Source organism: Homo sapiens, chromosome 2 (genome assembly GCF_000001405.40).
Source record: "Homo sapiens chromosome 2, GRCh38.p14 Primary Assembly".
In the NCBI taxonomy this organism is placed as follows: Eukaryota; Metazoa; Chordata; class Mammalia; order Primates; family Hominidae; genus Homo; species Homo sapiens.
Genome location: NC_000002.12, coordinates 85006309 through 85033038, shown reverse-complemented (window position 1 = coordinate 85033038; position 26730 = coordinate 85006309). Strand labels below are relative to the sequence as shown.

At 41.5% G+C, this 26730-nt stretch overlaps 1 protein-coding gene across 3 annotated transcripts in view, besides 2 other annotated features; it reads right to left on the bottom strand.

Annotated features, from left to right (window-relative positions):
• KCMF1 (potassium channel modulatory factor 1) overlaps positions 1-26730 on the bottom strand; it is an 88312-nt gene that overhangs the window by 26434 nt on the left and 35148 nt on the right. For 2 of the 3 annotated variants that reach the window (NM_020122.5, XM_006712052.4), the window contains exon 2: positions 4983-5150. In NM_020122.5, coding sequence (NP_064507.3) covers positions 4983-5150 — 168 coding nt within the window. Of the gene's footprint in view, positions 1-4982; positions 5151-18985; positions 19104-26730 lie in introns of all 3 variants that reach the window. The other variant, XM_047445126.1, reaches the window with a different exon arrangement.
• Positions 9081-9765: an enhancer, noted in NCBI's record as "H3K4me1 hESC enhancer chr2:85250397-85251081 (GRCh37/hg19 assembly coordinates)". NCBI's record gives its function as "activates a minimal SCP1, AML or CMV promoter by ChIP-STARR-seq in naive H9 embryonic stem cells {active_cell/tissue: H9 hESC(naive)}" and the evidence as "EXISTENCE:reporter gene assay evidence [ECO:0000049][PMID:30033119]".
• Positions 23765-23814: an enhancer, noted in NCBI's record as "active region_16115". NCBI's record gives its function as "activates an Ori minimal core promoter by ATAC-STARR-seq in GM12878 lymphoblastoid cells {active_cell/tissue: GM12878}" and the evidence as "EXISTENCE:reporter gene assay evidence [ECO:0000049][PMID:35858748]".

The following is a 26730-nucleotide window of genomic DNA, read 5'->3' as shown; positions in this document are numbered from 1 at the left end:
AGCAAACATCATTTACTGGTGAAAGACTGGATGCTTTCCCCTAAGATCAGAACAAGACAAGTGTGTCCACTCTTGCCACTCCTATTTAGTATTTTACTGGAGGATCTATCCAGAGTAAATGAAAGGCATCCAGACAGAAAGGAAGAAGTAAAATGATTTTTATTTGCAGATGACATGACCTTGTGTACAGAAAGACTTAAAGAATCCACTAAAAAACTCTTGGCGCCGGGCGAGGTGGCTCACGCCTATAATCCTAGCACTTTGGGAGGGAGAGCGAAGTGGGTGAATCACTTGAGGTCAGGAGTTCAAGACCAGCCTGGCCAACTAGGAAAACCCCATCTCTACTAAAAATACAAAAATTAGGCTGGGCTTGGTGGCTCACATCTGTAATCCCAGCACTTTGGCAGACCAAGGTGGGCGGATCACCTAAGGTCAGGAGCTCAAGACTAGCCTGGCCAACATGGTGAAACCCCGTCTCTACTAAAAATACAAAAATTAGCTGGGCATGGTGGTGCACGCCTGTAGTCTCAGCTACTCAGGAGGCTGAGGCAGGAGAATCACTTGAACCCGGGAGGCAGAGGTTGCAGTGAGCCGAGATCGCACCATTGCACTCCAGCCTGGGTGACAAGAGCGAAACTCTGTCTCAAAATAAAATAAAATAAAATAAAAATAAAATAAAATAAAAATAAAAATAAAAAAATTAGCCAGACATCGTGGTGCATGCCTGTGATCTCAGCTACTTGGGAGGCTGAGGCAGGAGAATCGCTTGAAGCCAGGAGGCGGAAGTTGCAGTGAGCCGAGACTGCACCACTGCACTCCAGCCTGGGCAACAGACGGAGACTCCATCTCAAAGAAAACCAACCAACCAACAAACAAAACAAACCACTCTTGGAATGAATAAACAAGTTCAGTAACACTGTAGGATATGAGATCTATATGAAAAAAAAAATCAATTGTTTGTCTATATGGTTGCAATGAACAATTCAAAAATAAAATTTAAAAAACAGCCGCGGTGGCTCATGCCTATAATCCCAGCGCTTTTGGAGGTGGAGGCGGGGACCACTTGAGCTCAGGAGTTTGAGACAAGCCTTTACAATGTAACAAGACTTCACCTCTACAAAAAATTAAAAATTCAGTCAGCTGTGGTGGCATGTGCATGTGGTGTGGGCTACTCGGAAGGCTGAGATGGGAAGATCACTTGAGCCTGAGATTGAGACTGCAATGAGCCATGATGGCACCACTGCAGTCCAGCCTAGGTGGCAGTGAGAACCTTTCAAAATAGATAGATAAATAAGTAAGATAAAAATTCCATTTAAGACAGTAAAAAGAATACAGATGCTCCTTGACTTACAATGGGGTTATATCCTAATAAACTTGATAAACCTATTTTAAGTTGAAAATGCATTTAATACACCTAACCTACCAAACATCATAGCTTAGCCTAGTCTACATTAAACGTGCTCAGAACACTTATGTAAGCCTACAGTTGGGCAAAATCACCTAAAACAAAGCCTATTTTATGTAATTTATTGAAGACCGCACTGAAAATGAAAAACAGCATGGTTGTATGTCCTTAAAGTTCTGTTTCTACTGAACATATATTGCTTTTGTACCACTATAAGATAAAAAAAGCATAAGCTGAACCATCATAAACTGGGGACCATCTATTCTTAGGAATAAATTCAATGGAAGTGCAAAACTCATACTGTGATAACTACAAAAGTTTGTCAAAAGAAATTAAAAACCTACAAAAATGGAAGCATATCCCATGTTCATGTATCAGCAGATTTAATATTATTAAGATGGCAATACTCTCCAAACTAATCTACCGATTCGACATAATTCCATTCAAAATCCTAGTTGGCTTCTTTGCAGAAACTGACAAGCTGAATCTAAAATACAGAAATGAAACGGACACAGAATACCCAAAATAATATTGAAAAAGAACAAAGTTGGAAGACTCACTCTTCTTGATTTCAAAGCTTACTATGAAGCTACAGAAATCAAGACAGTGTAGTACTGGCATAAAGACAGACATGTAGGCTTGGCATGGTGGCTCACGCCTGCAATCTCAGCACTTTGGGAGGCTGAGGCAGGCAGATCACTTTGAGCTCAGGAGTTTGATACCAGTTTGGGCAATGTGGAAAAACCCCATCTCCACAAAAAATTTAAAAATCAGCTAGGCGTGGTGGCTTCCACCTGTGATCCCAATTACTTGGAAGGCTGAGGGTGGAGGATTGCTTGAGCCTGGGAAGCGGAGGCTGCAGTGAGCCAAGATCGCACCACTGCACTCCAGCCTGGGTGAAAGTGAGACTCTGTGTCAAAAAACAAACAAAAACACCAGGCATATAGATCAATGTGAATAGACTGAGAGTCTAGAAATAAACCCTCATTTATAGTCAACCTATTTTTAACAAGAGTGCCAAGACAATGCATTGGGTAAAGAATAGTCTTTCCAACAAAAGATACTGGGACAACTGAATACTCACATGCAAAAGAATAAAGTTGGCCCTTTACCTCATTCCACATATAAAAATTAATTCTAAATGGGTCAAATATCTAAATGTAAGAGCTAAAACTATAAAACTCTTAGAAGAACACACAAGTTTAAATCTTCGTGACTTTGAATTAGGCAGTGATTTTCTAGATACAGCATCAAATGCACAACAAATGAAAAAATACATAAACGGGACATTATCAGAATTAGAAGTTTTGTGCTTCAAAGCACACCACCAAGAAAGTGAAAACACAACCCACAGAATGGGAGAAAATTTTTGCAAATCATCTATCAGATAAAAAAACTTACATAAGGAATAAAAAACTATTACAATTCAATAACAAAGACACATTATCCAATTAAAAAATGGGCAAAGGATCAAGGTATTTCTTCAAAGTAGATATACAAATGGCCCATAAGCACAAGAAAAGATGCTCAACATAATTTATATTTCAGAGAAATATAAATCAAAACCACCTGAGATACTACTTTACACCTACTAGGATGGCTGAAATAAAAAGGACAAAAAGTGTGGGCTAGGTAAGAAATTATAGCACGAAGCCAGGCGTGGTGGCTCATGTCTGTAATCTCAGCACTCTGGGAGGCCCGCAAGTGGATCACCTAAGATTAGGAGTTCAAGACCAGCCTGGCCAACATGGTGAAACCCTGTCTCTATTAAAAATACAAAAAAAATTTTCTGGGCATGGTGGCGGGCACCTGTAATCCCAGCTATTCAGGAGGCTGAGGCAGGAGAATCGCTTGAACCCAGGAGGTGGAGGTTGCAGTGAGCTGAGATGGCGCCATTGCACTCCAGCCTAGGCGACAAGAGTGAAACTCTTGTCTCAAAAAAAAAAAAAAAAAAAATTATAGCATGAAACATTTATATATTTTCTTACAATGTCTTCTAATCAACTGTAGAAACAATCTGCCTTTTTTTTTTTTTGAGATAGCGTCTTGCTTTGTTGGCCAGGCCGGAATGTAGTGGCACAATCAGGGTTCACTGCACACTTGACCTCCTGGGCTCAAGTGATCCTCCCATCTCAGCCTCCCAAGTAGCTAGGGCTACAGATGCATGTGCGCCACCACATCCAGCTAATTTATTGTATTTTTCGGGGGTGGATGCAGAGACAGGGTTTTTGCCATGTTGCCCAGGCTCATCTCAAACTCCTGGGCTCAAGTGATCTGACCATCTTAAGCCTCCCAAAGGGCTGGGATTACAGGCGTTAGCCACCATAACCAGCCAACAATCTGTTTTCTGGTCACTACAAAAGCTATTATTGCTGGGCATGGTGGCTCACGTCTGTAATCCCAGCACTTTGGGAGGCGAAGGCAGGTGGATAACTTGAGGTCAAGACCAGCCTGGCCAACATAGTGAAACTTCATCTCTACTAAAAATACAAAAAAATTAGCTGGGCAAGGTGGCACACACCTGTAGTCTCAGCTACTCAAGAGGCTGAGGCACGAGAATTGCTTGAAGCCAGGAGGCAGATGTTGCAGTGAGCCGAAATCCGGCCACTGCATTCCAGCGTGGGCGACAGAGTGAGACTCTGTCTTAAAAAAATAAAAAATAAAATAAAATAAAGCTATTATTTGTGTGTTAATAGCACGAACAAAAGACAGAGCATATTTCTTCTTTACTGAAGCACTCTTCTATTTCATTCCTTGTCAGTTGTGTATATTTCTGAATGGTTTTTTTAAACAAGTAAACTATGATTAAGATGAACAGACAGAATTACTTAGTACGTAAAAAGTAAGGCCGGGCGCGGTGGCTTACGCCTGTAATCCCAGCACTTTGGAGGCCGAGGCAGGTGTATCATTAGGTTAGGAGTTCAAGACCAGCCTGGTTAACATGGTGAAACCCTATCTCTACTAAAGATACAAAAAATCAGCCGGGCATGGTGGTGCACGCCTGTAATCCCAGCTCCTTGGGAGGCTGAGGCAGGAGAATCGCTTGAACCTGGGGGGTGGAGGTTGCAGCGAGCTGAGATCACGACATTGCACTCCAGCCTAGGCGACAGGGTAAGACTCCTCAAAAAAAAAAAAAAAAAAAAAAAAAAAGCCAGGCACAGTGGCTCACGCCTATAATCCCAGCACTTTGGGCGGCTGAGTCGGGCAGATTGACTGAGGTCAGGAGTTCGAGACCAGTCTGGCCAACGTGGTGAAACCCTGTCTCTACTAAAAATACAAAAAAATTAGCCAGGCGTGGTGGTGTGCACCTGTAATCCCAGCTACTCGGGTGGCTGAGGCAGGGGAATTGCTTGAACCAGGGAGGTGGAGGTTGCAGTGAGCCAAGATCGCGCCATTGCACTCCAGCCTGGGCAACAAGAGCGAAACTCCGTCTCAAAAAAAAGTAAGATTTATTTCATGTTTAATGAATTTGGGGCTTATGGTATGCTGCTGGGGAGTTTTAGAACACTTTGCCTTTACTTCTTCAACGTACATAAAATTCTAAATGATGTAATTCATTAAATTTTTAATTACTTACCAAAATCTACCCTTGTTAATATGCACTGCATTGGGTGGTCAGTTGTATGCCTTGTTGTTGTTGCACCACTTTCATAACAAGATGCACAAAGATCGTAATCGTAGCAAATTAAACACTTATATCTGCGACCTCGAAAATTTCCTTTTAAACATGCATCACAGCTGACACCTATAAAAAAAAGAAATATCTTTAGTTACCAGTTGTAAAGGCCACTCTTGATTTCATTTTTATGAATGTTTCAGGTGCTCATTTAACCTCATATGTCCTTTCCAAAATGACTAGAAATGACTTAGTAAAATGATACGGGAAGTTTTAGCCATGTGCTGGATTCATTACTCTGATTTATACTCCACATGAAAATAATTTAAAATGACTGATACAGGCTGGGTGCAGTGGCTCACGCCTGTAATCTGAGCACTTTGCGGGGGTCGAGGCGGGTGGATCACTTGAGGTCAGTAGTCCAAGACCAGCCTGGTCAACATGTTGAAACCCCGTCTCTACTAAAAATGCAAAAATTAGCTGGGCGTGGTGGCTGGCACCTGTAATCCCAACTACTTGGGAGGCTGAGGCATGAGAATTGCTTAAACCCAGGAGGTAGGGTTGCAGTGAGCTGAGATCGCGCCACTGCACTCCAGCCTCACAACAGAGTGAGGCTTTGTCTCAAAAAAAAAAAAAAAAAAAAAAAAAAAAGCCTTGATAAGCCAGCAAGAAGGTAAAAACCAAGACGAAGAGGAACTGGTGACTGGAAGCACTAAAGAAGGCTTTTCACCATGAGGGTATTTGCCCAAGCAGGTAAAAATCTAAGCTTAAGGTCCACAGCATTATTGGACAAAGGCCTAGTGAAGGTGGGATAATTAACAGAAGATTCCTCATAAAACCAAGACCCTAATATACTCTCAATGCATGGGTAGGCTAGAAATCCTCCCTAGGGGATTACAAAAATTACCCCAGTGAAAGCCCCCTGCCCTAGGGGCACAAAATAACACAAAAAGCCATAACCACAAACCAGTCCTCATGGGTTTATAGCCCAAATTCTATCAAATGGTTCCAAAGACCTTGGGTCAAGAATTTTAAGTGGTCTTAAATTAGAATTGATACCAAGCATCTGGCATATATAAACATCCAAAGAATAAGTTCATAATTTAAACCATAAAATACACACAAAAAAACAAAGCACCATCAGAAAGAACTAGCAGGAGCAGCAGAATCAGTCATGAGTTCATATCAGAATTGGGGCATCAAATAATTCTTGACCTGTTAAAAGAAATAACTGGGTGTGGTGGCTAACACCTATAATCCCAAGCACTTTGGCAAGGCGAGGCAGGGGGATGGCTTGAGGCCAGGAGTTCAAGACCAGCCTGGGCAACATAGAGAGATCCTGTCTACAAAAAAATTTAAAAATTAGCTGGGCATTGTGGCCTGTGCCTGTAGCCTTAGCTACTTGGAAGGTTGAGGTGGGAGGAATGCTTGAGCCCAGGAGCTCGAAGCTGCAGTGACCATGATCAAACTACTGCACTCCAGCTTGGGAACAGAACAAGACCCTGTCTGGAAAAAATAAAAATAATAATAATAATAATAATAATAATAATAATAATAAAGGAAAGAAAGAAGCTTGAACAGGGCTGGGTGCCATAGCTCACACCTGTAATTCCAACACTTTGGGAGGCTAAGACAAGAGGGCTGCTTGAGGCCAGGAGTTCAAGACCAGCCAAGGCAACATAGAGAGATCTCATTTGTATTTGTTTAAAAAAAAAAAAGTTAAAATATGCCAGGCGCAGTGGCTCACGCCTGTAATCTCAGCACTTTGGGAGACTGAGGTGGGCGGATCACCTGAGGTCAGGAGTTCAAGACCACCCTGACCAACCTGGTGAAACCCCATCTCTACTAAACATACAAAAATTAGCCGGGCGTGGTGGTGGGCGCCTGTAATCTCAGCTACTTGGGAGGCTGAAGCAGAAGAATGGCTTGAACTCAGGAGACGGAGGTTGCAGTGAGCCGAGATCATGCCACTGCACTCCAGCCTAGGCGACAGAGTGAGACTCTGTCTTTAAAAAATATTTTTAAAAAAGTTAAAATTTAAAATTCTGTAGGTGGGTTTCATAGTTTTATTCACATGTGATCTGCTTGTTTATGCTGAAAACCCAAATACAGCTAAGTTATTAGAAGCAGTAAGCAAAGCTGTTAGATAGAGACCTCCTAAATAAAGTACTGATTGTATTTCTTCACTGCAAAACAGACAGAAAAACATATTATTAAAAATATGTCATTTATTACAAAAAAATTAGTGAGGCATGGTGGTGTGTGCCTGTAATCTCAGCTACTCGGGTGGCTGAGGGAAGAGAATCACTTGAACCCAGGAGGCAGAGGTTGCAGTAAGCTGAGGTTGCGCCACTGCACTCCAGCCTGGGTGACAGAGCGGGACTCCTATCTCAAAAAACCAAAAAAATGTCATTTGTGATTCCATCGAGATGTGCCAAATTCAAAGAGAAGGAAAGTAGAACAGTGGTTGCCAGAAGCTTGAGGAAAGGGAGAACGGGGAGTTACGGTTTAGTGGGTAGAGAGTTTTCAAGTTTGGGATAATGGAAGAATTCTGGAGATGGACAGTGGTGATGGTTCCAAGAATGTGAATATACTTAATGCTACTGAACTGTACACCTAAAAGGGGTTAAAATAAATTTTATGCTATGTATATTTTACTGCAATAAAAAAATAAGCCATTTGCAACAGCATTTTAAAAAAGTGCCTATGAATAAATCTAACCAAAGATAGGCAGCCCTTTATGAAGCAAATTAGTAAAAATGTATTCAAAGACACTAAAGGACTTTAAAAAATATAAATACCAACTTCATGGACTGGAAGGTTCATAATAAAATGTCAACAGATTTGTGGATTCAATACAATTAATAACCAAAATTTAAAAAGAATTTTTTTGTGGGGCATGGTAAGCTGACTCAAATGTTGATGCAAGTTACAAAAAGGGCCAAGGAGAGTCAAGATGCTCCCAAGAAAAATGAGATAGAGGGACTTGTTTTATATATCAAGAGCTAAACTAATAAATAATAAGTAACACCATAACAAATAATAAACCTATAATAACTACAGTAAGATGGAATGGCACCAGGGTAGAGACAAACTGGCCCATGGAATAGAACGGAAAGACCAGAAACAGATGTTGAAATCTGTTTTACAACAGCAAGGTCACTAAAGAGCACTGAGAAAAAAAGGGAATGGACAATAAATGGTGCTGAACAGGTGATTATCTGCATGTGGGGAAAACAGAATTGGATCTCTCCCCATATCCTATACACACAAAAAATCAATTCCACATGGTTTAAAGACGGATTCAAAAGAACAATGAAAAATATCTCTAGAAGACAATATAGAATATTTTTATGAGTCTAAAGTAGAAAACAATTTCTTAAATCTTTCTCTTTCTCACACACACACGCGCACACACACACACACACACACACTCTCTCTCTCTCTCTCTCTCTCTCTCTCTCACTCTCCAAATCAAAAAGTAAGAGATAAGTCCAACTACGTTAAGACTTTTTCTTCATCTTTTGTTTTTGTTTTATTCTTTTGAGATAGAGTCTCACTCTGTCGCCGGGGCTGGAGTGCAATGGTGAGATCTTGGCTCACTGCAACCTCCGCCTCCTGGGTTCAAGCAATTCTCCTGCCTCAGCCTCCCAAGGAGTTGGGATCATAGGCGCCTGGCACCATGCCCAGCTAATTTTTGTATTTTTAGTAGAGACGGGGTTTCACCACGTTGGCCAGGCTGGTCTCGAACTCCGGGTGATCTGCCCGCCTGGGCCTCCCAAAGTGCTGGAATTACAACAGGCGTGAGCCACCACGCTCGGCCTTTTTCTTCGTCTTTTCACAGCCTACATTGATTGAAAATATAAGGTTCAGAAACTGGCGATATGTACAACATACATGACAGACAAAAGTTTGGTATTCAGAATGCATTATGAACTCTTACATATCAGTAAGTAAATGATGAATGCTTAGTAGAAAAATGGAGAAACCTGTCAAAGGGCACTCAAAGAACAACAAACATAAATGGCCAGTAAACATATGAAAAGATGCTCAATCTCATTAGTCATCAAAGAAGTGCATGATTAACATCCGTGAGCTAGCATTTTACATTTACCAAACCGGTAAGAAACTACAAGTTTCATGATATCAAGTGTTAGTGAAGATAAAGGGCAGCAGAAGTGCTTATACCCTGCTGGTAGGAGTGTAAATCAGCACAACCACTTTGAAAAATTTGTTCATATTTTTAGTCAAGTTAAACACATATACCTCCTATGATACCGTAATTTCACTCTTAAATAAATTCCCGGGGAGGGAATCTTTTGTCTGTGTGCACCTAGAGAATGTGGAAGAATGTTGACGGCAGTTTTTGTAACTGAATTTTAAAAAGGCTACTCAGGGGCTGGGCGCGGTGGCTCACGCCTGTAATCCCAGCACTTTGGGAGACCGAGGCGGGCGGATCACAAGGTCAGTAGATCGACACCATCCTGGCTAACACGGTGAAACCCCGTCTCTACTAAAAATACAAAAAAAAATTAGCCAGGCGTGGTGGCGGGCGCCTGTAGTCCCAGCTACTCAGGAAGCTGAGGCAGGAGAATGGCGTGAACCCAGGAGGCGGAGCTTGCAGTGAGCTGAGATCGCGCCACTGCACTCCAGCCTGGGCGAGAAAGTGCGAGACTCCGTCTCAAAAAAAAAAAAAAAAAGGCTATTCAGATTCAAAGGCTCAACAGTTCAATATGCACAGAATGAATTGGAAAAAGAATGAATCACAGCAACGGTAAGAACATCTGCCTCAGATGAGTGAAAGGAAATTTCAAAGAATACATACAGTATTGGCCGGGCGCGGTGGCTCACGCCTGTAATCCCAGCACTTTGGGAGGCCGAGGCGGGCGGCTCATGAGGTCAGGAGATCGAGACCATCCTGGCTAACACAGTGAAACCCCGTCTCTACTAAAAATACAAAAAATTAGCCAGGCGTGATGGCGGCCGCCTGTAGTTCCAGCTTCTGGGGAGACTGAGGCAGGAGAATGGCGTGAACCCAGGAGGCGGAGCTTGCAGTGAGCTGAGATCAGCCACCGCACTCTAGCCTGGGCAACAGAGCGAGACTCCGTCTCAAAAAAAAAAAAAAAAAAAAGAATACATACAGTATAAAGTTGAAAACCAGTATCTAGTTTAGGAAATCAAACATGTAGTAAAACTATAAAAGGAAAATGAGGGAATGATAAAATTTTGGTCAGTGGCTCCCTCTGGGGTTTAAGGTGATGAAGAGATGAGTATGTGAAGCTTTTACGGATCTTGAAATGCAACGTTTTTACATCTGGCCAAGAGGATCTGTAGTACCATTCTTCTCTTTTGCATTTATTTTATGAAAATTCTCATATATCCAACCAATATTTTATTTTTAAAAGTCCCTTCCTTCTAAACAAAAACAAACAAACAAAAAAACAGAAAGCAAAGCTGGAATTGTTTACAACAACCTTTGGGCTGTCAGTGGACTGTCAGGTGGAAAACTGGAAAACCAACATAGTTTTGGCAGATTGTAGATTTTTGAGACAAGGTCTCACTGTCACCCTGGCTGGAGAGCAGTTGCACAATCTCGGCTCACTACAGCCTCGACCTCCTGGATTTAAGCAATCCTTCTACCTCAGCCTCCTGAGTAGCTGGGACTACTGGTGTGCGCCACCATGCCCGCATAATTTTTGTATTTTTTTTGTAGAGATGGGATTTCGCCAAGTTGCCCAGACTGGTCTCAAACTCCTGGACTCAAGCAATCTGCCTGTGTCAGCCTCCCAAAGCACTGAGATTACAGGCATGAGCCACCGAGACCAGCCTAGGTTGTAGATTCTTATTGTTTGTTGAATGAATATGTTTTTATTAAAACAAAAAACAACAACAAAAAAAACAGGCCGGGCGTGGTGGCTCACACCTGTAAGCCCAGCACTTTGGGAGGCCGAGGCAGGTGGATCACCTGAGGTCAGGAGTTCAAGACCAGCCTGACCAACATGGTGAAACCCCATCTCTACTAAAAATACAAAAATTAGCCAGGCGTGGTGGCAGGCACCTGTAATCCCAGCTACTCCGGAGGCTGAGGCAGGAGAATTGCTTGAACCTGGGAGGCGGAGGTTGTAGTGAGCCGAGATCGCACCATTGTACTTCAGCCTGGGGAACAAGAGCAAGATTTCTTCTCAACAAAACAAAACAAAACAAAACACCATGGGATTCCCTGTTATTACTTAGCCATTAACAATAAGCACTTAGACAAATCAATGTTCTCTGCTCAATTTCTCTTCATCTATGAAGTTTGCTACGAGAATCAAATGAGGAAAAAAAAAGACATGAAAGCCCTAAATTTTAAAATGGTAGTATTATCTCATTCAGATGCAGTAAGATTTTTTTTTTTTGTGACAGTCTCGCTCTGTTGCCCAGGCTGGAGTGCAGTGGCGCAATCTTGGCTCACTGCAAGCTCTGTCTCCTGGTTTCATGCCATTGTCCTGCCTCAGCCTCCCGAGCAGCTGGGACTACAGGTGCCCACCACCACACCCGGCTAATTTTTGTACTTTTAGTAGAGACAGGGTTTCACCACATTGGCCAGGATGTTCTCGATCTCCTGACCTCGTGATCCGCCCGCCTTGGCCTCCCAAAGTGCTGGGATTACACGCGTGAGCCACCGCGCCCGGCTGCAGTAAGATTATTTTATCGCTTTCCCAGAATACAATTTGATCTCAATAATATACACCTTTTAAATTAGTTTTCAAAATATCCTTCGAGATCCTTGAGATCTCAAAAGCTGCAGTGAGACTCCCCGATCAACTTAAGACAACCAAATGATGGCATCATGGCAGCAATTTTTCAGCAAATTCAACAAATATCGATTATCTAATATGTAATATGTTTTAGGTGCTGAGGATACAGCAATGAACAAAACAAAGCCCTGCCCCCAAGAAACTAACATTTAGTGCGTGAAGACAAGCATAAAAATAAAAGTTGGCTAAGTGTGGTGGTGCATGCCTGTAGTCCCAGCTACTCAGGAGGCTGAAGTGGGAGAATTGCTTCAGCCCAGGAGGTCGAGGCTGCTGTGAGCTATGATCATACAACTGCACTCCAGCCTGGAGACAGAGCAAACCCTGACTCCAATAAAAGAAAAAAAGTTGTAGAGCAAGGTGGAAGTAAGTGCTATGGAGAAACATAAAGCAGTGAAGGACAGCGTGGGCAAAGAAAGTATTACTAAAAAAGATACCTGAGCAAAGAGATGGAATACTTAAAAATTTTCTTATTCAAAATAGCTTCCAGGTCAGGCGCAGTGGCTCAGGCCTGTAATCAATACGAACACTTTGGGAGACTAAAGGGAACAGATTGTTTGAGTGCAGGAGTTTGAGACCAGCCTGGGAAACATGGAGAAACCCAGTTTCTACAAAAAACATACAAAAATTAGCCAGGTGTAGTGGTGAGCACCTGTAGTCCCTACTTCTCAGGTTGAGGTGGGAGGATCACTTGAGTCTAGGAGGTTGAGACTGCAGTGAGCGGAGATTGTGCCACTGCGCTCCAGCCTGGGTGCCAGAGTGAGACCCTATCTCAAATAAAAACAAAAAACAAAATAGCTTCCATGCATGACGATGCTTTAAGCATAACACTGAATTAATCAATGGGGGGAGATACCTATGATATCTATTTAGGTTCACAAATGAAAGTTTAACATGATAGTATAATAATATTGACAAAAAATTGTAGTGTGAATTTAGGTGCCAGGAAGGTAAACCCAGCTCTGAACTTTTTGGTGTGTAGCCTGACATTATTCTGCAGGCCTGCCTTTTCTTTCTGAGGTGGGGATGCCTACTGGCAAGTATAGATGAACAAAGCTTAAGGCAACTGTGCATGGTGATACTGACACTCTTATCTTTCAGTAAAAAGATGCTGATACTTATCCCTTGCTCGCTCTACTCTTGTGATTTAATTCAAAGCTACCTAAATGGTTCACATAAGGGATAGGGGGTGGTAGCCTCAGGCTTCACTTAAACCCAGCTAGAGTTCCGTAACTGTAAGCCCTTTAAAAAGGAAACAGGGTTTTTTTTAAATTTACTATCTATTTTTGATAAAATCATTTCTGTAATATATATATTTTAGCTTCTCAAACACCGAAAGGCCTTTTATGATTCAAGGTCAGTATTTCAAATACAGATACATATATACATACGTATATATATACGTATGTATATATACACACACATATATACGTATATATATACACGTATATGTATATATACACACACATATATACATATATATACACACACACATATATATTTAAGTCAAACAGGTAAGTTTACAGCAGGGTTTCTTACAACATAAGATTCACTTTATTAATAATAATCTATGTGGCAGGCATGCTACAGAGGGTTTTTTGGTGATTAGCATACTATGAATAAGAAGTCGAGGGAAGTAAAAATGTTTTATAACATACAGTTTTTCCATATAGCCTGCTATCATCCTTTCTCATTGTTTAGTTTATGAAAGCTCTGTCCTTTAATTCCTTCTGTTGTCATGAACTTTTTGAAGTTAATATTTAATTTTATAGAACATTCCATACTACCTAAGTCTCTAAATAAAAGTACAGAAGCACAGGCTTTTTCAGTTTCTCAACAGTAGCCCATTGTCCCCTTTAGAATGACTCTCACTCAATACAGAGGCCCTCCTAAGTATATGTGTCAGAATCTGTGTCATTTTATGACACAGACTAACAAAACCTGCTCCACTACTGTCAACTACAGGTAATCTAAAGTTCCTATGGGAGGAAATAAGTTAGCTCTTTGCTGCAGTCCCTTGGTTTAACAATAGTGATTTTACCTGGTATCAGGAAGTCAGAGAAATCTGAAACAGAACAGATACATGGCATATGTAAAACTATCAATTCCTTCACAGGAAGAATGAAGTTGCTTCTGATGAGATATCAGTACACTCTATTTAAGATATTAAAAAATCAAAGTTCTGGCTGGGCGTGGTGGCTCACGCCTGTAATCCCAGCACTTTGGGAGGCCGAGGTGGGCGGATCACCTGTGGTCAGGAGTTCAAGACCAGCCTGGTCAACATGGTGAAATCCCATCTCTACTAAAAATACAAGAATTAGCTGGGAGGTCGAGGTTGCAGTGAGCCAAGATCACGCCACTGCACTCCAGCCTGGGCGACAGAGCGAGACTCTGTCTCAAAAAAAAAAAAAAAAAAAAAAAAAAATCAAAGTTCTGAAAAGTATTATAACAGAAACAAGAGTTCAAATATTGTAAAATAATGCCTTGAGAGGCAAAGCTGAATAACCACTAGTTGTCTAGATAGCACTGACATCCATTACATTAAAAAATATTTAGGTTTCATTTACCTTATACTACATATATTCTGCAAAAACTGAGTTAACCAAATAATAACATGTGCAACCCATCACTGAATAATCTAGCTTAGTCATGGCTGGGTGCAGTGGCTCATGCCTGTAATCCCAGGGCTTTGGGAGGCCGAAGCGGGCAGATCACCTGAGGTCAGGAGTTCGAGACCAGCCTGGCCAACATGGCAAAACCCCATCTCTACTAAATATACAAAAATTAGCCTGGCGTGCTGGCCTGTGCCTGTAATCCCATGTACTCGGGAGGCTGAGGAAAGAGAATCGCTTGAACCTGGGAGGCAGAGGTTGCAGTGAGCCGAGTTTGCGCACTGCACTCCAGTCTGGTGACAGAGCGGGACTCCGTCTCAAAAAAAAAAAAAAAAAAAAAATCTAGCTTAGTCATACTGTGTCATAAAGAAGTTCAGAAATCACTAGTTTGTAAAATGCTAACTTGAACAAGCTACATCATAAGGTTACGGTGTTATATTTGTAATCCCCCATCCAATCAAGTTCACCTAGCAAGATAAATGAAAATGCTAGGACATACAGTTTAACCCCTTTTTCAACACTGTCACAGATAAAACCTAAATGAAAAAAATGGTGTATATCTGACAACCACCTATCTGAAAAAGTTATATCTGAACACATTCATATTATCAGCATATATCTTGTATTTAGCAGTTCTGTAAAACAAATGAAAGCTATGAACTAAAATTTTAAGGAGAAAAGGATGCCCTCTAGTGGGAACACATTTTTAAAAAGCCACTGAAATAATACGTAGTCTTTTCTTTCTTATTAAAAAAATAAAAATAAAAGAGGTTTTTAATATTCGTTTACAGCTTTTTAAAGGAGAAAATCTCAGGTTGGTATACCTTTTACTTTTTAATAAAATTAGTTTTTAGCTAGGGAATAGAGAGTTGATGGGAAAGAAAAGGTCAACAAAGGGCAAGTTACTTTCAAGAAACACAGGGAAAAAAGAATACAACAGGAAGTCGACCTCATTTGGAATTTGAAGGCCTGGGATTATATAGCACTTGCCATTGACAGCCGATTTTGACTTCTAGCTATCATGTGATTTGGGGGGGTGGGGTGGAGGGAGGGAGGGCCTCTTTTCTATTCTGTGAAATGTCTGTGTATTATCTCTTCAAGGCCCTTGCATCTCTCCAAGTGTGACTTTTTTTAAAAAACGGTGTGTATCATATAGGCTATATAATTTTGATACTGAGAACTATACAGAGAACAATACTATTAAATGATAGACAATCTCCAAGAAGAGACTCTGCATTTAAGCAGTTGAAAAATTGTGCAACCCTTAGAAGAGGATCTTAGATGGCCGGGCGCGGTGGCTCACGCCTGTAATCCCAGCACTTTGGGAGGCCGAAGCGGGTGGATCATGAGGTCAGGAGATCGAGACCATCCTGGCTAACAAGGTGAAACCCCGTCTCTACTAAAAATACAAAAAAAATTAGCCGGGCGCAGTGGCGGGCGCCTGTAGTCCCAGCTACTCGGGAGGCTGAGGCAGGAGAATGGCGTGAACCCGGGAAGCGGAGCTTGCAGTGAGCCGAGATTGCGCCACTGCAGTCCGCAGTCCCGCCTGGGCGACAGAGCGAGACTCCATCTCAAAAAAAAAAAAAAAAAAAAAAAGAAGAGGATCTTAGATGAATACAAAAGCAAGTAAAAAAGATGAACTAGGCTGGGCGCAGTGGCTCACGCCTGAGATGGGTGGATCACCTAAGGTCAGGGGTTCGAGACCAGCCTGGCCAACATTGTGAAACCTCGTCTCTACTAAAGATACAAAAATTAGCTGGGTGTGATGGCGGGTGCCTGTAATCCCAGTTACTCGGGAGACTGAGGCAGAATCACTTGAATCCAGGAGGTGGAGGTTGCAGTGAGCCAAAATTGTGCCAATGTGCTCCAGCCTGAGTGAAAAAGCGAGACTCTGTCTCAAAAAAAAAAAAAAAGATAAACTATAGTATAAGTAACTCAGTGAAAAGCAGAAGTAACCAGAATTATTTTGCTTAAAGAAAATGGTCAAAGGATACTTCCAGATGTGAAACTGCTGGAGAAAGGAAATCTAAGACAAAGTTTATAATGCTTCATAAACTGGGAGCCTAGATCAGGAGTGGAGAGCTGTTTCATCTTCTACTTAAGAATCACAGAGGAAATATAAATCATCCCTTGCCAAAATAAAAAGAAACTCTAGGGTTTGTCTGTTTTTTTTTAGAGAGCTTTCCTTAGTTATTTTTAGAAATAGGAAGAGAATAAAAAGATCTATTAAATATACATATAACTCTATATACGCATATTTTTAAAAACCTATGCCCTGTGTTTAAGGGACAGACTCAAGAGGAGAGAGAAATGGGGTATCGAGACCCGTACAAACACACTCTTCAAGAGAAAACCTATGGCTAAAGAGATTCCACAGCAGAGAAAGAGAAATGAAATAGGGGGAGAGCATGATCCAGGAGCAAGATCCAGAAGAAAGAGAACCGGGAAGCTTAGTAAGTAGGTTTTGCAATATGTGTAGTCTTCACGCAGTAGTCTTACTTGAAACTGATACATTCATTCAGCATTTAAAACATTTAAAACAACCCTTTCTGACTGGAAATCGGCTTTTCTACTTTTTTTTTCCAGGTAGAATTCTGTGAGTCCTGTGATATGTAACAACAAGGAGCATCCACCCATCCTTTCATTATTTATTATTTATTATATGCCAAGATACAGCAGTGAACAAAAATATTTGCTGAGGACACAGCAGTGAATAAAAATTCTTGCCACACAGAGGTCGTCCCTCTAGTGGTTTAATAGCAAGTTCCTTCACTTTTAATTATGTACCTAATGACTTACATATATTACTTTGTCAATCTTCACAAAGTCATGAGGTAGGTGGAAAGTGTGATAAAACTTCTTTTGTGGCTACAGATGATTTAAAGCTGGTTCAAATCTGCCCAACAAAGTGAATAGAAAAATGGGTGAAATATTGTATTTAAAGAGTTCTTTATGAACTTTGTGAAAGAGGGAAGTTTAATTCATTTCTAAAAGTTTTCAGTATAGAGGAACTTGGTCCACTTTGGAATAACTGATTGGTTTGCCTCATTTTAAAGAACTGATCTACACTCTTTTATTTGTTCATAGAAATGCATCCCTGTTCTGAAAACAGAAACTTATCTTAGCAACAATGGACTTGCTCATGAGTGAGCTTAGGAACAGCCTTTCAGAGCCTCTTATCTGGAAATAGAGGAGCTTCTATATTACTCAATCTACTATTATACTCAGCCATGATTAGAGCTGTTTTCTGACTCATAAAATGAAGGAAGAGGAGGTGGATAAAGAGTGCCTGGGACAATGTGGGAATTCAATAATATCTGTTGAATGAATTAAGCAAATGAAAAGAAGGGGACGTTTTCCTAGAGTAATTAGATAAGAGCTCAAAAAGAGAGAAGGGAAAGCGGGGGGGATTAATGTGTGTCTATAACAGACTTTTTTTTTTTTTTTTTTTTTTTGAGATGGAGTCTCACTCTGTCGCCCAGGCTGGAGTGCAGTGGCGCGATCTCGGCTCACTGCAACCTCCGCCTCCTTGGTATAAGACTTCTTGACAGAAGAATTACTGAATAATGAAAGTAGAGGGGGGAAAAAGAAGGCCCTGAACAAGTACTTGTTTTCTACAGGAGAAAAAAGTAGATAAAAATGCTGTACCAAATACCTCTAGGAGTAAGCCACCAGGTGGCAACAATAGCCCAGGAGACCCAGGTTGCAAGTTTTAACATGCAATAGGGTGGTTAGTGGGAAACAGGTGGCTTTGGGAGGCTGAGGGAAACACTTTGGGAGGCTGAGGCAGGAGGACTGCTTGAGCCCAGGAGTTTGAGACCAGCCTGGGCAACATAGCAAGACCTCATCTCTATTTAAAAACACACACACACACACACACACACGCACGCACGCACGCACGCGCGCGCCAGTATTTCCATATACATGTGCAATTCAGTTTAGTTGCTTTAAACAATGCACACTAGATAGAAACTGCTCTGTTTTGAAAATTCTGCAGACAGGTCTGTGGCAGCAAGGCAGAGAGAGCTTGGTTTAGGCTCCAACTTTCCCAAAAAAAGAAAAGCCCTTTTAAGGGAAGGTGATGATTTTTAATCTGCTAAAGACCTAGTCACTGAACTGTTGATTCTTTTACAGATGGATAAACTGAGGCACACAGGCACTAAGTAATTTGCTCCAAAGGCAAAGAGCCATTACATGGCAAACCAGTGATTAAGATAAAGGGTTGCCTACTGAAGCATATCTTTTGATAATAATCCTTTTTTCCCCAGAAGTAGATGCCTTCAGAACTTTATTTATTATGATACGGAGATATATATTTAACACATTGTTTATTGTTTTTCCCTTGACTTCTTATTTTTTAAGAAGATTCTACTAATTACACAACTTCTCTGGAATGAAATCCTGAGATTGAGGAATTACTCTTGAGGCAGGTGCTTACAGATATTTATTTTCAGAGGTTTATCACCAAACAAAACTCTACTTAAAGTCACTATTTTAAGTTCTTACTCTAGAGTAGTGTTTTCTCAACTTTTTGAAAATTACAGGCACAACTTACAGGCAATGCAAAGACTGTGTACCACTGAGCACTGAAAACAGGGTCTAAGAGCTGTTTAGAAAGCCTTCCCATCATATACTCGGCTAATAATATATGCACAGCAACAGGGACCTCTGGCCTGAAAAAGACACACTACATGTTAAGAGAATAATGTCATTTCAAACAATGAAAGGGGGGAAACACATTTAATGTCTCCCCTCCCCCACCCCTGCCTAGGATTTTTTGGTCTACTGTTTAAACATTCTTTTTTTTTTTTGAGACAGAGTCTCGCTCTGTCGCCCAGGCTGGAGCACAGTGGTGTGATCTCGGCTCACTGACACTTCTGCCTCCCGCGGTCAAGTGATTCTCCTACCTCAGCCTCCCGAGTAGCTGGGATTACAAGTGCGTGCCACCATGCCTGGCTAATTTTTGTACTTTTAGTAGAGACGGGGTTTCACCATGCTGGCCAGGCTGGTCTCGAACTACCGGCCTCGTGATCCGCCCACCTCGGCCTCCCAAAGTGCTGGGATTACAAGCATGAGCCACTGCGCCCGGTCTAAACACTCTTATACTGACTTTCTGCAACTGTTTGAGGGAAAGGAAAACTGGAAATCCTTAATGTACTGCAAGATGTATAAGGAGGGAGCAGAATACATACTGTTCGCTAAATGTTTTTTTAATGTTATCTAAACTAGAAATGTCTGCACATGTATTTGTGATAGATTCCCAGTCAAGTAAGGCACATGACAGCTCATTGTACTGAGGTGGGAAAAGATCTGCCCTGGGTCTATATTTTAAGACCATTTCTCATTGACTTAACACTACTATTTCTAGCAACCAAAATTTTTGAGCACTTGCAGTACCCACTTAGTGCTTAGAGCCTAAATGGGGAATAAGGATAAGTAAATAAGCATTTAAAACAGTATGAAGACTAAGGGATAGAGACCTACAGAAACAAAGCCAAACATATGAAAATGATGAAAGATGACTTGTTCTAGCTGGGGAAGTACAACAGACTCACCCTGACACAACTCTTCATACCAAGCAGTTCCTGAAATCCTCGCTAAGACACTGAAATATAACTTCAGGTCCCTTTGTTCTAATGTTCTCCACATATAGAGCAGTTATCCTAAATCCAGTCTCAAAAACTCACCACAAACATGAACTAAGTCACTTTCCCCTGTTTTGTAGGCTAACCAATTTAAAATGTTAGCAAGTCCTCCAAAATCCTACCGTCAACTGTTAAATTACATTTCTTTATGTCTGCTCCAGTTTCTTCACGGATTTTAAAATAAAGGGACCTACAACAAACATAAAGCTCTGTATAGGAGTAGGAATAATTAATACAAAGTATAGAGAATACTCTAGCACTGGCGGAAAAGAGTTGTGGTTTATGTCTGGTTTAGGAGGCATGTGAGTCTGATTTTAGACATGTTTGGTTTGAAGTGATAAGACATGCAAGCTGAAAGGTACAGTAAACAGTTGGTTAGGATGAACTGATCTTTGGGAGACTTTCTCTGAGAAAGGATGTCTTTGTATCACTGAGAGTGATATACGGTAATACGGAAAAGAAAGAAGGAAGGGACTAAGCATAAACATAAAATGAGGAAAATGGATAGTGCTTATACAGTTTGATGTGAATCTCAAACCAAGGTATACAAATACAGTATAATTATACAAAATTTAAAAGTTTTTAAACACTGGCTTTAATATTCATTAACAATGCATCAAGAATGACTGAAATGCAACACACAAAAAACAGTTCACTCATGAAAAAATAGTATGGTAATAACTCCAATCCAGAAAATTCAACAACACACTTTAAGAGCATGTAAACAAATACCAACTTTATCAGGAGTTGACTCTTGCCTGGCTATAGAGATTGCTTACCTGATCTTTGCTTTCCTCGTCAATGAAAAAGAAAAAGAAAAAGCATCATCTCTCTACATTACAGGACCATCACAGGCCCATAAACATAATCCCTTTGCCCTTCCTCTACATTTCAAGAACACTTGAAGTAAAGTTGGTCGATGGTTAGTTATTACTACTGTTTCTCAGCTCCAAGCCCCTTCTGCTGGGTCTAGGAAATGGGTCTCAACCAGTGGCCATGTTGCCCCCTAGGGGTCACTTAGCAATGTATGGAGACACTCTCAGTTCTAACTATTAGCGGGACAGGGAGGGCTAATGGCATCAATTTCAGGGAGGCTAAGAATGTTACTAAACATCCTACAAAACACAGGACAGCCCCCTGGCCCAAAATGTCTACGATGCCAAGGCTGAGAAACCATGGTCTAGGATCTGCCAACTCATTTATTCAGAATCCCTTAGCAGCTTGCTTCCGGTTTACACTCTGCCAATGGGAGGCTTCAGAGGGACAAAAAAAAATGGGAAGAGGTCAGCATCTTTCTGGCAGCAGGTCTTCTTCCATCCAGAGCTCCAATACTAGCGTCTTCAGGCACTCTCATCACCAGCTAGTTGCATCCTGCTCAGAAGGCCAAATACCAACTGTGTGGAGATGTGCAGGTGGGCCTTTGAACTCCTAAATTCTAGTAACTCAAGTTTTTCCTTTTTTGCAATGATGGTTTTACATCTGTACTGTCCAATAATAGCCATTAGCAATTAAAATGCCTTGTCAGGTGACAGGGCCCAGAAGCAGTGATACAATAAGTACACCAAGCAAGCACCAAGTAAGTCTAAACAGCATCCTCCACTAAGAGGAACCAGGGTTCCTCACAGAAATGAAGGATTCTATGGGTTGGGCAGGGCAAATACATGAGCCTGTAATATATCCAGTTCTAAAATGAATCATCTAGAAATGACTAATGAAGAAAGATGGGGACATATCAAAAGTACACAGAAGAAACCTTAAAGGGGTTTCACCAGCCAAACCTGGGACAATTTGAGCATCAAGATAAATAATAAAAGTAATAGACTGGCCGGGCACGGTGGCTCACGTCTGTAATCCAAGCACTTTGGGAAGTGAGGCAGGCACATCACAAGGTCAAGAGATCGAGACCATCATGGCCAACACGGTGAAACCCCACTTCTACTAAAAATATAAAAATTGGCTGGGCGTGGTGGCATGCGCCTATAGTCCCAGCTACTCGGGAGGCTGAGGAAGAAGAATTGCTTGAACCCGGGAGGTGGAGGTTGCAGTGAGCTGAGATTATGCCACTGCACTCCAGCTTGATGACACAGTGAGACTCCGTCTCAAAAAAAAAAAAAAAAGTAATAGATTATAACTCACTGAATAACACAGGAATCCACGACTCCATACTGATATAAAGGAATAAATAAATCAGAAGAAGGAAGCAGAAAAAAAATCTTCCTAGTGGTAGAGACTGACTAGAAATTACATTCCAGCTCCTTACTTCACTGGTACTAGAAGTATGCTGTCCAATATGGTAGCCACTAGGCACATGTCACTATTTAAATGTAATCTGCTAAAATTAAACTAAAAATTCAGTTCCTCAATTGCACTGGCCACATTTCAAGTGCTCATGTGGCTGGTGGCTACTGCACTGGATAGTGGTGCACCGGACAATGACATTTGAGAGACTGAGCCATAATTTTGTGAAAATAAGGTCTAGAACAGTCTTTTTTATTGAAGACAGTCTCAATTTGGTCACCCAGGCTGGAGTACAGTGAGGCAATCTAGGCTAACTGCAGCCTCTGATGCCCTGGTTCAAGCAATTCTCATGCCTCAGCCACCCAAGTAGCTAGGGTTACAGGTGTGCACCACTACACCCAGCTAATTTTTGTGTTTTTAGCAGAGACGGGGTTTCACTACGTTGCCCAGGCTGGTCTTGAACTCCTGGCCTAAACTGATCCCACCTCAGCCTCCCAAAGTGCTGGGATTACAGGGGTGAGCCACCACGCCCGGCCAAGAGCAGTCTTAAGGTAAGATCTCATTTTGTTGCTTTCTGAAACTCTTAAAATTTTGTATTGAAATTGAAATAAAAGACAATTTCAAAAGGATGAAGAGAATAAAAAGAAACAACAGGAATACAATTCTGGATGTGAAAAGCAGAATTAGGTAACTGAATTAGGAGACTGGAAAGAACTGAATCCCAGTATGGGCAAAGGGGAAAGCTAAGAATCCAATTTACAAAGCAAATTCAACAAAATGTCTGGGACTGGCAGCAACATTGCTGGAACCCTAGTTAGGGTGAAGAACTGCTGAAGGATAGAAGATGGATAAAAGGTCTTTAAGAAGCAGTTAAATTTCTAAGTTGCTTCTTCAACATTATGCTGCACTTCAAGTGGAAAGTAGAAGTTTATTCATTAAAGAGGGTCTCTGACCCCCAGGAACTCAAGGCATCGTTGAAAACGGAATAAAGTGCATATTTTATTGAAAACAGAGGGATTAAGTAAGTATATCATTTCCAGAAACAGAAAAAAGAAAGAAGAGGGGGGAAGAGAGAAAGAGACAGAAATCAGAACATGGAAGAAAACTGGAACCCTACTCTAGAAGCTTCAATATCCTCAAAGTAAGAAAAATGGAAGGGAGGAAATAACCAACAGAGTAATTCAAGAAAACTTTCCAGAACAGAGAATAGGAATTGCCAGGCTGAAAGAGCCCCTGTACAGCACGACCTCACTGAAAGGGCATCTGTACAGCAATGTCCCACTTTCTTGGCACCAATTTCCTGTATTAGTCCATTTTCACACTAGTATAAAGAACTACCTGAGACTGGGTAATTTATGAAGAAGAGAGGTTTGACTGACTCACAGTTCTGCAGGTTTAACAGGATGCATGACTGGGAGGCCTCAGGAAACTTACAATCATGGCAGAAGGTGAAGGGGAAGCAGACACCTACTTCACAATGGTGGAGCAGGAGAGAGACAGCACGAAAGGGGAAGTGCCACACACTTTCAAACAACCAGATCTCATGAGAACTTACTATCTCAAGAACAGCAAGGGGGAAGTCTGCCCCCATGATTCAATCACCTCCCACTGACATATGAGGATTACAATTTGAGATGGGATTTGGGTGGGGATACAGAGCCAAACCATAACATATACATACAAAAGTACGCATCAAGGCTGGGCATGGTGGCTCACACTTATAATCTCAGTACTTTGGGAGGCCAAGGTGGGAAGACTGCTAGAGCCCAAGAGTTTGAGACCAACCAGGGCGATATAGTAAGACCTCCTATCTACAAAAAAACTGCCAGCTATTTGAGAGACTGAGCGGGGGAGGACTGCCTGAGCCCGGGAGGCAGAGGTTGCAGTGAGGTGAGATTGAGCCACTGCACTCCAGCCTGGTAGACAAAGCAAGACCCTGTCTCCAAAAAAAAAAAAAAAAGAGTACATGTCAATACTTGCAGTGCTTTCAGTCTTTCCAGTGAGCGACTGAAAACAGGCACAGAGCAGCATGAAAGTTGAGTGGCTTGATACGCATGTTTCCAGCTCAGGTCCAACAAAGCAATGCTCTGCCTCCTTCTTTCAGCTCTCATTTTGTAAACAAGTGTCGTTTTCATGGTCTATTTAGTCCCATGTTTTCACCTTTTTGTGCTGTTTCTTGGTAGTTTCGCTATTTAAATGGCTCCCAAGTGTAGTGCTGAAATGCTGCTAAATATATATAAGATATATGAGATATATATCATGTAACATATATCTCAGATATATGATGTATATATCATATATATCACATAATATATAATATGATATATAATATATATCATATATAATATATCATATGATATATAATATATATTATATATTATATATCATATTATATATTATATATGATATATATATCATATTATATATTATATATATTATATATCATATTATATATTATATATGATATATAATATATATCATATATAATATAATATGTGATGTATTTTAGCAGAAATACACATAAAACAAGGTTACGTATTGATCCATCGAAAAAATGTTATAACCAGAGGCTCAGAGGAACCTCACCCTGAGATTCCTCTAGGAACAGAGGTTCAGTAATTGCTAACTTGGTGTTCATGTAAACTTTATAGAACACAACTAGCGGCTGGGCACGGTGGCTCACGCCTGTAATCCCAGCACTTTGGGAGGTCAAGATGGGTGGATCACTTGAGGTCAGGAGTTCAAAGCCAGCCTGGTCAACATGGTGAAACCCCATCTCTACTAAAAATACAAAAAAATTAGCCAGGCGTGGTGGCAGTGCCTGTAATCCCAGCTACTTGGGAGGCTGAGGCAGGAGAATCACTTGAACCCAGGAGGTGGCGGTTGCAGTGAGATCACGCCATTGCACTCCAGACTGGGTGACGAGACTCTGTCTCAAAAACAACAACAAGAAAAACACAATTAGCACCTATAACAAGAATTAATTACACATACATACATAAAATCACACAATATCATACATTTTCTTTGTAACCTGAGGACACAGTGGTACCTGGGGCCCAGTCCCCGTATCTTATCTGGACTTGGCTGGTCCTGCCCAAGTGATGTCGAAGTTCCTGATCTCGCCTTAAGGAAAAAGGTTCAGCTGATCTCATTTCACCCCATGAGAGTGTCCCCCTCTGACCTGTTCCTGGGAGCTGGAGGTGGGCCAAGTGAAGGGCAGTCCTCTGACTACCCCTGTGCTGGAAATCCAAGCTGGTCCATACAATAACCCTGCTAAACGCTCCATATATGTTGGGTCCTGAGTTTCCAAGGTGCATTTGTGACCTTGCCCAATGATTTCTCCAGACTCTTGGAAACTCGGGGAAGCCGAAGGCAGACTCTGTTCAGCTTCTCTTCTAAGGGCTTCCACCTAATAGTGCAAACTGCTCTTTCCTCACATGGTGAGACCTGGGCTTGCTATTCCATGTTTCATAACTAAACAATATGTGGCTCAGATAGAAATGGATATACTGGGAGTAAACCTGCAGAGAAAGGGAAGAGGATTATCAAAACAAAGATCCAGTTAGTGGATATGGACATGTGGATGAGATGTTCTATTTCTTTTTTTTTTTTTTTTTTTTTGAGACTGAGTTTTGCTCTTGTTGCCCAGGCTGGAGTGCAGTGGTGCGATCTCGACTCACTGCAACCTCTGGCTCCCGGGTCCAAGCGATTCTCCTGCCTCAGCCTTCCTGAGTGGCTGGGATTACAGGCATGTGCCTGGCTAATTTTGTATTTTTAGTGGAGATGGGGTTTCTCCATGTTGGTCAGCCTGGTCTCAAACTCCCGACCTCAGATGATCCACCTGCCTTGGCCTCCGTAAGTGCTGGGATTACAGGCATGAGCACCGCGCCTGGCCGAGATGTTCTATTTCTTAATATGAGTAGTGGATGTGTGGACGTTGGTTTTATTCTCTTTTTACTAGATACATACTTTTGTACACTCTTCTAAATGTTATGACACATTTCACACACATACATAAAAATTCCATTCTCAAAGAAAAGAACTGGCTGGCCATATGTCTTTAAAATGGCAAATATTATTTAGATTTTTTTTAAAAAGACATAAACTTCTTAAAAGAAAATGAGGGCCGGGCGCGGTGGCTCACGCCTGTAATCCCAGCACTTTGGGAGACCAAGGTGGTGGATCACAAGGTCAGAAGATCGAGATCATCCTGCCTAATACGGTGAAACCCTGTCTCTACTAAAAATACAAAAAATTAGCCGGGCATGGTGGCGGGCGCCTGTAGTCCCAGCTACTCGGGAGGCTGAGGCAGGAGAATGGCGTGAACCTGAGAGGCAGAGCTTGCAGTGAGCCGAGATGGCGCCACTGCACTCCAGCCTGGGTGAGAGTGCGAGACTCCATCTCAAAAAAAAAA